Raw genomic sequence first — 18,844 nt, forward strand, 5'->3', positions numbered from 1 at the left:
AGCAAGTTTTTTTTAATTAATAAGTGTGTGCTTTCTAATAAACTCGACTTTCTTGCATAGCTGGTAGGTAAGCATCAACAGGCCACCTCTTTGCCAGTACAGCACCCATTTTCCCAATGAGCAGTGTTTTCCATCTGGTCATGGGTCTCAAAAGTTAATGCCCAGAGGCAGGGCACAGTGGCTCTCGCCTGTAATCCCACCACTTTGGGAGGCTGAGGTGGGCTGATCATTTGAGCCCAGGAGTTCCAGACTATCCTGGGCAACATGGCGAAACCCCATCTCTACAAAAAATATGAAAATTCAACTGAGCATGATGGCACGCACCTGTAGTCCCTGCTACTCAGGAGAATGAGGTGGGAGGCTGGCTTGAGCCCAGGAGTTTGTGGCTGCAGTGAGCCGAGATCACGCCATTGCACTCCAGCCTGGGCAACAGAGCCAGACCCGGTCTCAGAAAACAAAAACAAAAACAAAAACAAAACAAAAAAAAACTTAATTCCCAGAGACAAAGCAGGGGGATCATACAAATAAGCAAGGTGAACCTGGGCCTCACAATAATGCAGGGTAGTCAGTGTGGAATGGTTCCCTAGAAAGGCTTTCCATGCCAATTTCTTAAACTTAGTGCAGCCCAGGTACACACATGTTCAAGCTGGGTCTCAGTAGCAATTCTCGTTTGCAAGACTTTGCTCTACTTCCTTCCTGATTCCCAGATTACACTTACCTAGGCGTACTGATGTATCTTGATGTCTTTTAATTCCTTGGAACGTCCTGAGGGCTGTCCATATGCATACCTAGCATTTCCAAATCTGACCACATGGCGGTGAAAATATCCTCATATTATTTTCGTAATCCCGGCACTTTGGGAGGCCGAGGCGGGTGGATCACTTGTTTGTGACCAGCCTGGCCAACAAAGTGAAATCCCGTCTCTACCAAAAATACAAAAATTAGCCAGGTGTGGTGGCTCACGCCTGTAATCCCAGCTACTCCGGAGGCCGAGGCAGGAGAATTGCTGGAACCCCAGAGGCAGAGGTTGCAGTGAGCTGAGATGTCGCCACTACACTCCAGCCTCAGTGACAGAGTGAGACTCCTTCTAAAAAAATAACAATAATTAAAAAAAATTCATTTATTCTCTGAGTTACTTCTTTGTGACTCTCAGCATACTTTTATTTCCACAAACTTCAAAAGGTTGCACAGCATCTTTAATATAATTATAAAACCTTTCACTATTACATGAGAAGTACTTTTTAAAGTTGTATTCATTCTTTGTGAACTTCTGAATTTTAGTGTACATTTGGCATTCTCAGTTTTATGAGAATCCTGTTAGCTTTGCTGAGGCAAAACCATGCTGCTTATGTCCTTTTTCTACTAAACCACATTATCTTCCTTTACTCTGGTAGTTGACCATGCAAAATATAGTTCTAATTCCCTGTATATTTAATCCAGAATTTATCTTCTTTTCTTGGTTGTTTCCCCTAAAACATTTTTCTTCTTTTTTTTTTTGTGGTTTGTGTTTTTCGAGATAGAGTCTCGTTCTGTTGCCCAGCCTGTAGTGTAGTGGAACGATCTCAGCTCACTTCAACCTCCACCTCCCGGGTTCAAGCGATTCTCTTGCCTCAGCCTCCCCAGTAGCTGGGACTACAGGTGCACGCCAACACACTTGGCTAATTTTTGTATTTTTATTAGAGATGGAGTTTCACCATTGTTGGCCAGGCTGGTCTTGAACTCCTGACCTCAAGTAATCCACCCACCTTGGCCTCCCAGCATGCTAGCATTACAGGAGTGAGCCACAATGCCTGGTCTCTTCTCCCATTTTTGTATACCCAACATCCACCTAACAAATGCCTGAATTTTCTCCTAGTTCTACATTGATACGCAGCAGATCTTGAAGAACTTAAGACAATTTATGAACAAAAAGGTTAGCAGATCCTGCTAGAGATGGTTTATTTATAATGTGAGCTTATGCTGTATTTACTGCAGGATTCAGATGTACACCTATTTCTGGAAGACAACTCTTTATCTACACCCCCACCATGCTCTCAGACTCAGCCCTGGACTCTTTTATTCTCATGATTTTTTTTGTGTGAAATAAATGCTGGTTTGTGAGCAAGAGAAACACAGAGAGACTTGGAAGGGCAAGTTCTGCCGATGATATGGTGACTATTGCTCAGCTCAACCACCAGCTCATCCCATTTCTCAGGAAAGAGTGAACTGCAAGGAAAAATGAAAGAACAAACATGGAAGAGTTCATTTCACTGATGCACTGTGAGACCTTTGGGGTAATATTTCTTTGGTGCTCATCCCATAATAAAACATGAAGAGAAGAGCATCATTTACCTGATGAAGTGTGGCATGGCTTCCATAGACTGAGGGCTCCAGAAAATCCAATCTGACATAATCACATGATGGTGCTGCCCTGTTATTGCAGCTTTAGGTGGGTGAGAGGCAGTATTGCAAGGGAAATTTTGGGAACCTCCCATAAAGGAATCCTTAGTTCCCTCAGACTACCAGGACAAATTGACACAAATTTGTCAGCTTAAAATAACAGACATGTATTCTCCCACAGTTCTTGAGAACAAAGACTACACTTAAGGTTTCATGCGGATTAATTATTTCTTGGGGGCTCAGAGAGAGAATCTATGCTTCTCTTCCAGCTTCTAGTGTTCTCCAGCAATTCTTGGCAGTTCCTTAGTTTGTGGATAAAGCACTCCAGGCTCTGCCTCCATTTCCACATGGCTTTCTGTTGTGTGTGTCTCTGTGTCTGTCTCTGCTTCCTCTTCTTATAATAACAACACACATTGGATCAGGGGCCTCTAGTCCAGTATGACGTCAACTTGATTACATCTGCAAAGACCCTGTTTCCAAATAAAGTCACATTCACATGTGCCAGGCGTTAGGGCTTCAATGTATCTTTTTCAAGGAATCCCATTCTTAAGCCGCGATGTTGATTGTATCTTTCACTGTTTAGAAAGCAGTAGAGTCCACTGCGGCAAACATCCTCTGGGGACAAATGGTAAATGCCATGTAGCAACTGGAAAAAAAAAAAAAGGAAAGAAAATCTTCCCTTCTCTCTCTTTTTGTTTCCAAACTTGAATCTCTAAGGAAGATTCTGATTAAGATTTTTGGGAGCTGATATATTATGTTGAGCCATATAAAACTGCTGTTTTGTGAAGCTAAAAAGTTTACATATAGACAGTTTCTTGTTATTCAACCTAACAGCAAGTAAACTAAGAGGCAGAAAATTATTACATATTTAGAACGTGACCATTTTTATGACCCCAGATTGACATTCTTACATTGCAAAAAATAGAGGATTGAGTGACATGAGGTAAATGACTGCTTTTTAACCTGAAAAACAAGTTTAAATATAGTCCATGATGGAACTTCCCCATATATGACATTTTAAAGATTTATAGACAAAATTAAGTCATGTATATTTGATAGCTGTTTCAAAACTGATTCTATTAGACAACACACTTTTGCCTCTCTGAGTTAGGCCTGATGTGAATAGATGCATTTTTGACAGTATATTTTTTTTCTCTAAAATGACCAAGAGTAAAAGCAAGGTGAGTTGAAAGGATTTAAAATCCTATATAAGACTGTGAATTAACTTCAAACCTCTTTAGTGATAAGCTACATATCATTCTATTTATTTACCCTTAGGATTTGCATAGTGATTTTTTTTCCTCTCAACATTTATCTAAATTGAGTAGCATCAAATTTATTTCTGATCGCTTTTCCAATTTTTGAAAGTAATTTATATTCAAATACTATTTTATAGGGGACTGGCTAGCCCAAACACTGTCCCTCTGATTTGCATTGATATTGTTTTGGAATTTGTAATGTCATCTTATAGACTTGACTTGATTTGATTGAATTAATTTACTCCTAGATCTCACTACACTGCTGTTTCTAGCAGCTTAAAATGTATCACCAAAAATATTTTCATATACTAACTTAGGTTATATGGGAGGATTCACTCATGAAATAGTCAACGTAGCCAAAACCTGTTTTTGAAAAATATTCCTTTGATGTCGTTACTTTGTTTTATCAGTTTAGTGAACAAACCTTTATGCAAAAATCACTGAAAAGCAATTGACAAGATGGTAACTGAGCAAAATATGGGTTACGGTGATATTCAGATTTGATTCTTGATTTTGATTGTGCATACTTTTGACAGTTGTTTAAAACTTCCTAAGAAGATGGGACCTAGAAAACAAAAGTAAAACAAACAATAGAGACATGGTAGAAAAAGTCAGGACTGAAATTCTGCAACTATGAGAATATGTCATCCTATATATTAAATAAGCATAGAGTTCAAACATATTTTGAGCAAAAAAATTGCCTTACGTTTCTACTAAAAATTGAAACTACCAATTATCTGTTAACATTTAGGTGTTTCAAGAAAAAGCAAAACAAACTGAAATGTTTTGTTGAGAGTGTTCAGTGATAACCCGCTGCTTACTCTGTGCATTTAAATAAATTTATATTTTATTGCTCCTTCAGTTGCACATTCCAGCAGCTTGACTTTGAAGTGTGTTACCAGGAGCAAGGATTTTCATTAGGAAGTGCCTGGAGGCGACATAGACTGATAGTCATAAATAAGAGAAGCTGTGTGATTCTGACCTCAGCAGACCACTGTGGACAAACGTATCTTTAGCCACAGTTATTTTTTCTTTTCATCTGTTGCTGGTCTCTATGCATATTTTTAGTAAAATGATTGAGTAGGGGCAGAACTGTTTTTCTGATTGACAAGTTAGACAATATCCAAAGCTGAAGTTCATTTAAGGGGCTGTCTGTGCATCTCTTTTGAAAAATTAGGCAGTGGACTTAGGACTTTTTTTCTCAGAGTTTGTATCCTTAGGTTAGATTGCAGAGTAAATGACAAGCTTTGCTTATGTGCTATGTCTTTATAGCAGTATCTACAAAATCATTTAAATGTGCATGTAACAGGGACATTAATTTCCCCAGTGAGAAATTACAAATCACTAGGACCATTTAATTAGATCCTTGGTTTTGAAATAGTATCTGTTGCAACACTGAGGGGAATTTCTATAAAAATTATTTGATGGAATTTTCAAAATACCATATGCAAAAGGCAGATTAAACGGGGGAAATAGAGATGAAATAATGTAACTTTCACTTTCTAGGGAAAAAGCCATCATCACACTTCTCAGTTTGATAGCAATAAGAGGTAATACCTTTGTGATATGAAAATACCTACATTAACAATACTGAAAACGAGATTGACTAGTAAGTTGTTACTCCAGAGGAAACAACCTGTTATTACCAGAATTGAAGTGCTTCAGAGGGCTGTCTGGCACTTGAGACTTTAGATAAACCTGATAAAAAGCTAAGGAGCTGCTAGAAATTAATGGTGTCCTACTATGGTCAATGGATTTTCATGAAGAGTTTTCTCTCTGATCATGTGAAAATGTTTTCTACAATTGTTACTCAATTAAAATGCAAATTCTTTTATAAGCTATACGCATGAAAGGCATCTTTTCATAACTAAATAAGACTACTTTTGGTAGTCTTATTATACACACACATGTCTTTGTATTTATGATGTGAATTCGAATAGTTAACATTTTAATTTATTTATTATTTTAATTTATTTCCCACTGGTTGTTGAACAACTTATAGAATTAAATTATGCTTCACTGCTTACATTCTGAAATAGATATTTTGGAAGGAAAGATGGTTTTAATCAAGAAAAAAAATCCTCTCTCTTTTTTTTTTTTAAGCTTCGTAGTGCCTAGAGTACTGCTGAAGCAGAATATCTCTATAATAACATCCTTGTTGAGTGGCAACTTGGCTTAGATGGGAACCATGGATCCACCCTTCCCTGTTGAGTGAACTTAGACAATTCACTTAACTTCTCTGAGGTCTAGCTTTACTCTTAGAAAATGAAGATATCAATAATAAACTACTTCAAAGGGTTTTGTGAGATTTGAGTGAGTTTTGTAGGTAATGCATTTAGCCTAGTACACAAAAGACATTCGATACGTGTTGTTTTATGTTTATGTAAGGCAAGTTATGACATGGTCACAGTTGTTTGGCATCTAGGAACTAGATTGTGGAGATACTGAAGATAATTGGCTGTCCAGCTATACAGTTAACACTTATTAATCGGAAGAATGACGGTGACTCAGTGGAAATTAATTCATCCTCCCGTCTCACTAAATTATCGCTGTCATTTTCTTACATATATTTGCAAAATAAATTAAATGATTTTAGGAGCAAAAGGGTGGTTTAGTGTGCAATGCAAAGTTTTAATATTTTGTATAAAATTCCAAAAAAAATGCCTGACAATAAAGGCCACTGAATAGCATAAAGGAAACTTGTAGAGGAAGCTAATATTTTCTCTGTGAGTGTTGGTTATTCGAATACATTCTTTACAACATTTGTGGAAAGTCTTTTCCTGAGTATTTTCTGCCTTTACAGTTTGTCTCTGAAATCCAAATTATCTTTCAGATATTTATTTCATCCTTTACATAATTTTAACACTTTCCCAACTTTTCTCCTCTATATAAAATTTTCATATGATTTTCCCAATGGTTGTCAAATCTACATCATATTTTCCTCTAGGCTTTTTTCTTCGGTGTTTTCTTCTTTCCCTCTTTTTCTGAACCTAGCTAAGACCTTCTTTCTCTTCCAGCAGTAATTATTCCAAGCCTTCTTTCTCTTCCAGCCTTCTTTCCAAGCCTTCTTTCTCTTCCAGCAGTAATTCCAAGCCTTCTTTCTCTTCTAGCAGTAATTATTCTCTGTACCATACATTTGGTCACCTCATATAATCTTTTAGAAGATCTCCCTGAATATCATCTTATACTATTCCTTTTTGCTGATCTTTACATGCATCTTTACATCACACATACTGCCTGACACATTTCTGTACATGTAATAAGAGGGCAGCATTTAATGTGTTAAATAGCCTATTCTAAGGCATTGAAGGTATGTGATCGAGGAGAGTTGGAGGTAATAAGAAGATCGATTATTTTTTTCTTAGTGTAATAATTGATTCTACATTTTGAAAAAGGAAAGATATATATTTTATTTTGTTTTCATAAATAGGTCAGAATTAAATCCAGTAATGTCTCTAGTTAACATCATGAAAATCTTTGAGTTTTTTTTTAGGTATCAGAAAATATATTTGTTATTGACATGTACTTATTGAGGAGGATAAAAAAGATGATAAATTTCCCCTTTGTTTACATTTACAGTTTTACTCTGCTTCACTATGCCTTTTTATATTCATTAAGAAGACAGTGGCAATGCCATCTGGTTGGAAAACTGAGAACAGTTTTTCTAAGTTGTTGATTTTAGAGATGAAGAATATCAATGCCACCTTTTGAAAATAAAGGTTTGAAATGTATATAATTGCTAATAGTGGAATAGTAAAATAAAAGTCAGGAAATTTGATATATGTGGCCTAGATTTTATTACTTATCTTTGAAACATGCAATTCTCAAGGGGAAGACTAATTTCTTAAATTTGTGATTGGATCAGAAGGCTTTTGTCAGAGGTACTGTACTCAAACATTCAAACTCATACCATTAGTTTGCTGATGCCATTGGAACAAAAAACACCTGCTGCTCCTTGTCAATTTTCTTCTATTTACACTTTATCTTATTGAACTAAATGTATTTCTATAAAGTACTTCCAGTCCTTTTGGAAATTATGAAGCATAAATGAGTAGACAGGCAGAAACAGAAATAGGAGAAAATAAATGGAGGAGAGGCAGACATAGTCAGATAGAAATGTGAATTCCTGCTGCATTTCATAAGATTTATTAGACAAGGTTGTTCGAGAGTTGGTATTCACTATTGTAGTCTACCCAGTAGCTATGATACTTGAAGCTGTTGACATATCTTCTATTTGTAGTTTTTTAAACATACCATATCATCATCCAAGACCCTTTAAAAATATTAATGCAAACAGCAAACTAGCAATGCCAAAGGCATATACCCTGTTGCAAAATGTCGTTGATTATACGTTTGAGTAGTATTGATAATAGTAGGACAACCTAGGAGCTGTTTTACTGCTCTTAAATCCTACTTTGATAGAGGCTGTCACTACTATAACATATTCAGATACTTTCGCTCCAATTTTCTTCTGTCAGTTCTTCCTTCTTATGAATTTATACACACACACACGCACACACACACACACACACACACACACACACACACGAGAGCAGCTGATTATTCCCCAAAGAGACCGAAAATATACTTAAAATTGAAGATAGGCCCATTTTTTGTCAATAGCAAAAATGTTATTAGAAACAAGTTCTATCTACTATTACGTTAGTAATTACCATATTAATAAGCCCATGAGAATATATAAAATTAAAGCCTAATATTTTACATTGCCAATCCTTATAATCTCCACAGTAAAATTATGTATATTTTTAGTTCTTTAAGCAATAAATTCCTATAGGCCTGGCCTAGAAGATTAGATAGATAGAATAGATTGATATGTGGATAAATACACATGCACACACTTCTATACATAAATGTCTTCAAACCTGTAAATATATAAAATTTTAAGGGTCTATCTTATCATCCCTATTTCCTTATTGCATCTATTGTGGAAAATGTAGGTTTTCATATTAAATACTAGTTGCCTTCTGAATATTCTTTTGATAAAATATAATTCTCAAAGCATTGTTTTTAAGTTAAAATTATGAAAAGAGTATAGCTTATTAGAGAGAAAAGATGAAGAGTATAGCTAAGAATGAAAGAAGGCTGGGAGGCTTTGTTTATTTATTTGTGCTTTATTTTTATGGGAATAAACAGTGAAAGGGATGCTGTAACATAAGGTCCTAATGTCTTAATTACACATAACTATCGTCATGACTTTTCTTCACGGAGTTGCCAACCATGTAACTGGTTGGAGGGCCATCAGATAGCACCGGATTTCAGCAGAAATTTTAGTACTATCTGGGCTAAATTTATTTCTATTCCCTTTGTTTCACTGCTAGGGTACAAATCTAATTGCTCTAATCACCCTCTGATAGAAAATGTTCAATTGGTCTTCATTGACAATAGAAAGAACTCTGAATTTGTCAATATGCCTCACATGCCCGTGAAGATCTAGTTCACGTTGATGTCTGAGTTATGTTTCTTGACTATCCCCTGTCTACTGTGTATTCTGGTCAAGCTAATATACTTTTATTTCCACCTAACAAATGTATCTTTCTCTCATCTCCATCACTCCCCCCACCTCTCTCTCTGTCTCTCTCTCCCCACTTTAGATATTTGCATATGCTATTTCCTCAGTGAGAGTTGATTTCACTTCCACTAACAAGGGTTTTCTTCAACTGGCCATTAGTTGCTCATCATTCAGGTATCAATTTAGTTGTTCCGTCCTCCAGAAAGCCTCATTTCCAGAACAGTCTCATTCTTCCACATTATATTCTGTAATGGTGGAATTGTGAGAGTCCTGATCTGAATTCCCTATAAGCCTCCAAATTAATGAGTGTATTTGGATAACTCTTTAATTCCCAGTCCCTAGCAGATTGCATTAATAGTAGGGCATATGTAGTAAATATTTGTTGAATAAACAAAACCCGCCAGCTCCTTGGAAAAATGCAGAAGTATATACTTAAGCCACTAAGCAAATTTAGGTAGTATTCATTTAGTCAGTTAACCAATGGTTCTTTCAATAAGTATTTTTGGAATAATTTTACTGTTTCTGCCACACAGTCAGTTGTTTGTAAGGGTTTGACCACCTTTGGTTAATGAAAAGGGAGAACAGCAGGCTACTATGCATAGGAACATAGTTTTAGGTTGCTTAGAAGTATTAGGGACATTATATGTTTTATGTAATAGAAAAGAAAATGTTTTAGGTCATGATTACAAAGTATTAATAAATACTGTTAAATATTACATGAAATATATATATAATATAAACCTTAAACATATTAATTTAACCCTTTGTTATTTTTCACCTTTAAAGCAATAATTCACTCATCTACTACTCTCCAAAGGTTAATGTATTCATATTTATAAAGGGAAAATAATCACTTATGTTGTTCAGTGTGAAACTTGATCTTCTATTTAATGTTCAAAATCCTCAAATGCAGAATGAAATACCGGTGTGCATTTTATGGAATTTGATATTTCAAGGAAATGAGTGGACTCTAGAGCATTCATTTGCTCTAATTACTGTAAGAGATCTTTGTCTTTGTTTAATCGTCCAACTTTAGAAATTCATGGAAATACACTATAAAAAGCAAAATAGCAAGAGGAAAAATAGTGTAATAGGAATGGGCTCTGACTAGAATTGTGGTTTTTGGAATAATACATTAGGTTTGTAATCAATTATGGATGAAATGTCTGATCCATATTTTTCCACATCATCGACTAGCACAGCATCTCTCATGCCAAAATTGATTATGGAAGTAGCACCTCTTCTGTCATAACTGTCTGGACCAGGAAGAGTATGATATCTGCAGAACAGCAATTAGCATCAGAAATAAGTCATTCTGAGGCTGTTTTCCAGAGTTCATCTAGAAAAAAATAATAATCCTCCCATCGACTCTGGATATGGGTGTGTGTATGTGTGTGTGTGCACATGCACACACAACCACACACAAGCAAACTGATATTTATTTGTGCTCTGTTGAATTGAAAACCTGACATTTTCTGCTTGTGTAGAAAGCAGAACAAATCAGTCTAGTTAATCCCTGTAAATAAGAATGTGGCATCCCAGTGAAATGGGAAAACATGCAGTTTGGGAGTATTTTTCAAGGTTAACAATCTCTATTAGCATTTATGGATTTATTAGCTGATTGCCTATTTAATGCAAGCCTACTACGGTGTTTTCATTGTTCCTCTTTAAATATCACATAGTTATACTTTCAAATTTTACTTCAATTGTGTGGGGTTTTTTTTGAAGAATAAATATATATTTGGTCAAACAAAGCATCCAAAAAGAATGAATCTTTCCAGAACTAATTTGATATTACTAGAGCTAAGAAGATAAATAAAATATCTAGAATATTTCTAAAATGTAAGTTACATTTATAAAATAATATTGATAATATAATTTCATTGAGTTTATAAATGAATCAAAGAAAAAATTATAATTCATGTAATCTGAACTATTTAGCAATCATAAGTCTGTGGAAGCATGTATCATTTGCGCATGCCAAATTTCTAAAAAGTAGGAGGATTTATTCCTGTTGATTCTTAGATTTACACAAAAAAGTCACAAAGTTCAAGAAAACTATTCTTTTCCGTGGGTTTAATACATATAATTAAATCTTTCACACTCATTCTTTCTTCTGACAAGAGCTAGATACATTTGTTACAGTTTATAATGATAAAGGTGAATGATGAAAACAGATATTGAAGAAATTGACACAGACCAAAAAAAAAAAAAAAACAAAAAAACTCCAAATGCATTTGCAGCTTCTTAACCTGCAGAATATTTAACTTCCATTAGACAAAAGCACTGTTCTCTAAGAACCTACAATTGGAAGAGGGCAGATAAGAGACAAAACCTCTTATCCTCTTATTGCTACCTACGTCATCAGTGTGTTCTAGGAGTCGCACAGGCCACTGGGATGGGGCTTCTGAAGCAGGAGAGGTCCCTTCTGGTTAGGTCAGGGAAAAGTCTATGACAGGAGTGGTTCCTCATATGCCATGCTTTATAATGATAATGGTTCCTACAGTTTCTGCATTCTACCTGCTGCATCAGCCTTCCTTGGAATAGCTCCAGCAATTGGTGCCTCTAATAAATGTCCTGTCTTATTGTTCAGGGGCTACCACTACTATCATGTGAACACCAATTAAAAAACATTTGTTTGGGATTCCCAGGCAAGATGGCCAAATAGGAACAGCTCTGGTCTGCAGTTCCCAGCAAGACCAATGCAGAAGGTGGGTAACTTCTGCATTTCCAACTGAGGTACCCGGCTCATCTCATTGGGATTGTTTAGACAGTGGGTGCAGCCCACAGAGGGCAAGCAGAAGCAGGGTAGGGTGTTGCCTCACCCGGGAAGTGCAAGGGGTTGGGGAACTCTCTCCCCTAGCCAAGGGAAGCTGCGAGTGAGGAACAGTGCAATCCAGCCCAGATACAATGCTTTTCCCACTGTCTTCGCAACCTGCAAACCAGGAGATTCCCTTGAGTGCCTATACCACCAGGGCCTCAGGTTTTAAGCACAAAACTGGGCAGCCGTTTGGGCAGACACCGAGCTAGCTGCAGGCGTTTTTCTTTGTTGTTGTTGTTGTTGTTGTTTTCCGAACCCCAGTGGTGCCTGGAACACCAGCAAGACAGAACCGTTCATTTCCCGGGAAAGGGGGCTGCAGTCAGGGAGCCAAGTGGTCTTGCTCAATGGAGCCCACCCCCATGGAGACCAGCAAGCTAAAAATCCACTGGCTTGAAATTCTCGCTTCCAGCACAGCAGCCTGAAGTGGACCTGGGAAGCTCCAGCTTGGTGAGGGGAGGAGCATCCAGCATTACTGAGCCTTGAGTAGGCAGTTTTCCCCCCACAGTGTAAACAAAGCCGCTGGGAAGTTTGAACTGGGAAGAGCCCACCTCAGCAAAGCCACTGTAGCCAGACTACCTCTCTAGATTCCTCCTCTCTGGTCAGGGACTTACAGATAAAACTCCCATCTCCTTGGGACAGAGCACTTGGGGGTAGGGGTGGCTGTGGGCTCAGCTTCAGCAGACTTAAATATTCCTGCCTGATGGCTCTGAAGAGAGCAACAGATCTCCCAACACAGTGCTCGAGCTCTGCTAAGGGACAGATTGCCTCCTCAAGTGGGTCCCTGATCCCCGTGCCTCCTGACTGGGAGACACATCCCTGCAGGGGTCGGCAGACATCTCATACAGAAGAGCTCCAGCTGGCATCTGGCAGCTGCCCCTCTAGGACAAAACTTCCAGAGGAAGGAGCAGGCAGCAATCTTTGCTGTTCTACAGCCTCTGCTGGTGATACACAGGCAAACAGGGTCTGGAGTGTACCTCCAGCAAACTCCAGCAGACCTGCAGCAGAAGGGCCTGACTGTCAGAAGGAAAACTAGCAAATAGAAAGCAATAGCATCAGCATTAACAAAATGACAACCACGCAAAAACCCCATCCAAAGGTCACCAACGTTAAAGACCAAAGGTAGATAAATCCACAAAGATTAGGAAATGCCAGTGTAAAAATGCTGAAAATTTCAAAACCAGAATGCCTCTTCTCCTCCAAAGGATCACAACTCCTCACCAGCAAGGGAACAAAACTGGACAGAGAATGAGTTTGATGAATTGACAGAAGTAGGCTTCAGCAGGTGGGTAATAACAAGCCCCCCTGAGTTAAAGGAGCATGTTCAAATCCAATGCAAGGAAGCTAAGAACCTTGATAAAAGGTTACAGGAACTGCTAACTAGAGTAACCAGTTTAGAGAAGAACATAAATGACCTGATGGAGCTGAAACACAGCATGAGAACTTTGTGAGGCATAAACAAGTATCAATAGCTGAATCGATCAAGCAGAAGAAAGGATATTACAGATTGAAGATCAACTTAATGAAATAAAGCATGAAGACAAGATTAGAGAAAAAAGAATGAAAAGGAATGAACAAAGTCTCCAAGAAATATAGGACTATGTGAAAAGAACAAACCTACGATTGATTGGTGTACCTGAAAGTGATAGGGAGAATGGAACCAAGCTGGAAAATACACTTCACGATACTATCCAGAAGAACTTCCCCAACCTAGCAAGACAGGCCAACATTCAAATTCAGGAAATTCAGAGAACACCACAAAGATACTCCTCGAGAAGAGCAATCCCAAGACACATAATCGTCAGATTCACCAAGGTTGAAATGAGGGAAAAAATGTTAAGGGCATCCAGAGAGAAAGGTTGGGTTACCCACAAAGGGAAGCCCATCAGACTAACAGTGGATGTCTCTGCAGAAACCTTACAAGCCAGAAGAGAGTGGGGGCCAACATTCAACATTCTTAAAGGAAAAAATTTCAACCCAGAATTTCATATCCAGCCAAACTAAGCTTCAGAAGTGAAAGAGAAATAAAATCCTTTACAGACAAGCAAATGCTGAGGCATTTTGTCACCACCAAATGTCAAAGAACTCCTGAAGGAAGCACTAAGTATGCAAAGGAAAGGAAAAACCAGTACTAGCCACTGTAAAAACATACCAAAATGTAAAGACTATTGATACTAAGAAGAAACTGCATCAACTAATGGGCAAAATAACCAGCTAGCATCATAATGACAGGATCAAATTCACACATAACAATACTAAACTTAAATGTAAATGGGCTAAAAGCCCCAATTAGAAGACACAGACTGGTGAATTGGATAAAGAGTCAAGACCCATCAGTGTGCTGTGTTCAGGAGACCCATCTCACATGCAAAGACAAACATAGGCTCAAAATAAAAGGATGGAGGAAGATTTACCAAGCAAATGGAAAGTACAAAAAAAAAAGCAGGAGTTGCAGTCCTAGTCTCTGCTAAAAGAGATTTTAAACCAACAAAGATCAAAAGAGTCAAAGAAAGGCATTACATAATGGTCAAGGGATCAATGCAACAAGAAGAGCTAACTGTCCTAAATATGTAAGAACCCAATACAGGAGCACCCAAATTCATAAAGCAAGTTCTTAGAGACATACAAAGAGACTTAGACTCCAACACAATGATAGTGGGAGACTTTAACACCCCACTGTCAATATTAGACAGATCAACGAGACAGAAAATTAACAAGGATATTCAGGACTGGAAATCAGCTCTGAACCAAGTGGAACTAACAGACATCTACAGAACTTTCCACCCCAAATAAACAGAATATACATTCTTCTCAGCACCACATAGCACTTATTCTAAAATTGACCACGTAATTGGAAGTAAAATACTCCTCAGCAAATGCAAAACAATGGAAATCATAACAAACAGTCTCTCAGACCACAGTGCAATCTAATTAGAACTCAGGATTAAGAAATTCACTGAAAACCACACAACTACATGGAAACAGAACAACCTGCTCCTTAATTACTACTGGGTAAATAACAAAATTAAGGAAGAAATAAATAAGTTCTTTGAAACCAATGAGAACAAAGACACATGTACCAGAATCTCTGGGTCACAGCTAAAGGAGTGTTTAGAGGGAAATTTATAGCACTAAATATCCACAGGAGAAAGTGGGAAAGATCTAAAATCAACACCCTAACATCACAATTAAAAGAACTAGAGAAGCAAGAGCAAACAAATTCAAAAGCTAGCAGAAGACAATAAATAACTAAGATCAGAGCAGAACTGAAGGAGATAGAGACATGAAAACCTTTCAAAAAATTAATGAATCTAGGAGCTGGTTTTTTTTTAAACATTAACAAATTACATAGACCACTGGCCAGGCTAATAAAGAAGAAAAGAGAGAAGAATCAAATAGACACAAGAGAAATGATAAAGGGGATATCTCCACTGATACCACAGAAATACAAATTACCATCAGAGAATACTATAAACACCTCCTCACAAATAAACTAGAAAATCTGGAAGAAATGGATACATTCCTGGACACATATACTCTCCCAAGACTAAACCAGGAAGAAGTCGAATCCCTGAATACACCAATACCAAGTTCTGAAATTGAGGCAGTGATTAATAGCCTACCAGCCAAAAATGCCCAGGACCAGTTGGATTCACAGCCAGATTCTACCAGAAGTGCAAAGAGGAGCTGGTACCATTCCTTCTAAAACTATTCCAAACAATAGAAAAAGAGGGACTCCTCCCTAAGTCATTTTATGAGGCCGGCATCATCCTGTTACCAATACCTGGCAGAGACACAACAAAAAAAGAAAATTTCAGGCCAATGTCCCTGATGAACATCAGTGCGAAAATCCTCATTAAAATACTGGCAAACCGAATCCAGCAGCACATTAAAAAGCTTATCCACCATGATCAAGTCGGCTTCATCTCTGGGATGCAAGGCTGGTTCAACACACGCAAATCAATAAACGTAATCCATCACATAAAAAGAACCAATGACAAAACCCGCATGATTATATCAATAGATGCAGAAAAGGCCTTCAATAAAATTCAACACCTCTTCATGCTAAAAACACTCAATAAACTAGTTATTGATGGAATGTATCCACTTTGGGAGGCTGAGGCGGGTGGATCATGAAGTCAGGAGTTCAAGACCAGCCTGGCCAACATAGTGAAAACCCATCTCTACTAAAAATACAAAAAATTAGCTGGGCGTGGTGGCAGGTGCCTGTAACCCCAGCTACTCAGGAGGCCGAGGAAGGAGAATCACTTGAACCCAGGAGGCGGAGGTTGCAGTGAACCAAGATTGCTCCATTGCACTCCAGCCCAGGTGACAGTGTGAGACTCCATCTCAAAAAAATAAATAAATAAAAAATAAATAAATCATTCTACTACAAAGACACATGCACACGTATGTTTATTGCAGCACTATTCACAATAGCAAAGGCTTGGAACCCACCCAAATGCCCATCCATGATGGATAATCACTGGATAAAGAAAATGTGGGACATACACTCCATGGAGTACTATGCAGCCATAAAAAACAAAGAGTTCATGTCTTTTGCAGGGACATGGGTGAAGCTGGAAACCATCATTCTCAGCAAGGTAACACAGGAACAGAAAACCAAACACTGCATGTTATCATTCATAAGCGGGAGCTGAACAATGAGAGAGGGGAATATCATACACCAGGGCCTGTCGGGTGGTGGGGGCCTGGGAGAGGGATAGCATTAGGAGAAATACCTAATGTATATGATGGTTTTATGGGTGCGGCAAACCACCATGGCACATGTATACCTATGTAACAAACCTGCATGTTCGGCACATGCATCCCAAAACTTAAAGTATATTAAAAAAACAGAAAACCTTTGTTGATTTTTATGTTCAGTTCAGGATCTAGCATACTAACATGCAGCCAATATTTTTATTTTATTTGTTTGTTTAAATCTTTAACAATATGTGCTTTGCTTAATTATCTTTGTTACCACAAGATTTATATCTGTCCTACCTGTGCTTCAACATAATTAAGGCAGTGGCTGAAAGTAACAAGCAGTGCTTAACAATTGCTAATTTGTATATTGCATTTAAAAATACAACCTTTCACCAAGATTTTATGGATAAAAAAATTCACATGTGACCATACTAATTTCTTAAAGTCAACAAAGACAAATAATTAAAAAACACTATGACAGGCTTTCCCAAAATTCAAAGGAGACTTTAAAGACAGTCTGTTTCCCAGCTGTTTTCATGACGTGATATGCTAAGTGGCTCTAATCACAGATATAATTAATAGGCATTTGTTATTTTAATCATGAAATTAAAATAATATTTTGTTTATCATTTACCTATTAACATTTAGCTCTCTTTGATGGCATGGATCATCATGCAGAAATGTTTTAGGTATAGAGTAAATGTAAACATGGGTCTGAAGAGTCAAGATCCAAATTATCCACTTTTGGTTTAGTTGGCCACATAGTTGTATCAGTTTTTTATTGCTGCTGTGACCTACTACCACAAACATAACGGCTTAAAACAAACCACATTTATTATCTCATAGTTCTGAGTTCACAGTCCAAAATGGGTCAGTGAGCTTACTTTTGGGGGCCCTGAAAGAGAACCTGTTCCTTGCCTTTTCCAGCTTCTAGAATCTGCCCGTATCCTTTGGCTGGTGGGCCTCCATCTCTTCTGTCTCTGCTTCCATCTTCATATCTTCTTTTCTGACTCTTAACCCCCTGCTTGCCTCTTATAAAGACTTGTGATTACACCATTCCTGTCCAGAAAATCCAAGATAATATCCCCATCTGAAGATCCGTAATCTAATTAGACCTGCAAAATTCCTTCTGCCATATTGGGTAACATGTTCTCAGGTTCCATAGATGAGAATGTGGACATTTTTGAAAGGCCATTATTCAGCCTACCCCAGTTGATGCCTTTTAGGTTCATGGGTTTATTCAGGAAAGGGAATTCTCCCAGGTGAAGTTCGCTCAGATGTCTCTTTTGTTAACACTTGCCCTGTGAGCTCTTCTTAGATGAGAGACATCAGTAAAAGGGATAAAAATGGAACCAATACTGCCTATCTGGAAAATTCATAACCATCTGGGCATTTATTTTTAATTTGAATAGAAGGATAAATTCCACTCCTGTTAGATCTTTATTTAGTCATATTTGCTGTCACATTATAAATTTCTTGTGTAACAAATAGCCAAATTACCTGAAGGCAATTTTTTTAAAGCCTGGGCTGAAAGAAATGAGTCAGAAACTCTTTATTTTGCTGTTTCTTTCCTGAGGTTGTCATAAGTTGTTATGAATATAAATTAATATACAGTTTCTATAATCAATTTGATAAGGAATACATAGAATAAAAGTATTAGCAATATCTCTTGTAAACCTAAAGTTCTTCTTTTGCTTAAAATATGTTTTTTTGCCAATGTCAGTAGATCTCTTCATGACTTATATTTGATTTAGTGAAATTTATGTACATGCAAGTTAAGCTGTTTATTGATCATTTGAGTTTCTGTTTCCTTTCTGTGTGTCTTTGTTTTTACATGACAACTTTCATTAGTATTGGGAATCATTAAGTCTTTTTAATAGACTGTTGTAAAAAGGCCTCTTCTTACAAGAAGTTTTTTTCTGTATTTTATCTCCATGCTGTACGATTAAAATAAATAAATTTAAAGAAATAAATATTTCACCTGTCTTTTAACTTCAAGAATACAAATAGGAAATATCCTTCTGTTTGCTCTGGTGAGAACTATAGGAATATTATATTAATATTTCAAATTATGCAGTAGGTCCTCGAATAATACTGTTCAGTGCCATTTATTATGATGTTGATGAGAAAAGAAAAAACAATCACTTC

The 18,844-nt window shown here is 37.3% G+C and overlaps 2 long non-coding RNA genes across 4 annotated transcripts in view; one reads left to right on the forward strand and one right to left on the reverse strand.

Moving 5' to 3' along the window:
- LOC105377567 (uncharacterized) overlaps positions 1-18,844 on the forward strand; it is a 158,458-nt gene that overhangs the window by 58,776 nt on the left and 80,838 nt on the right. The window lies entirely within an intron of this gene.
- LOC105377565 (uncharacterized) overlaps positions 4,135-18,844 on the reverse strand; it is a 72,379-nt gene continuing 57,669 nt past the window's right edge. Inside the window, exon 3 of the long non-coding RNA XR_939517.3 lies at positions 4,135-4,203. This is a non-coding gene — a long non-coding RNA (uncharacterized LOC105377565). The remainder of the gene's footprint in view (positions 4,204-18,844) is intronic.

Source organism: Homo sapiens, chromosome 4, assembly GCF_000001405.40.
Source record: "Homo sapiens chromosome 4, GRCh38.p14 Primary Assembly".
Lineage (NCBI taxonomy): Eukaryota > Metazoa > Chordata > Mammalia > Primates > Hominidae > Homo > Homo sapiens.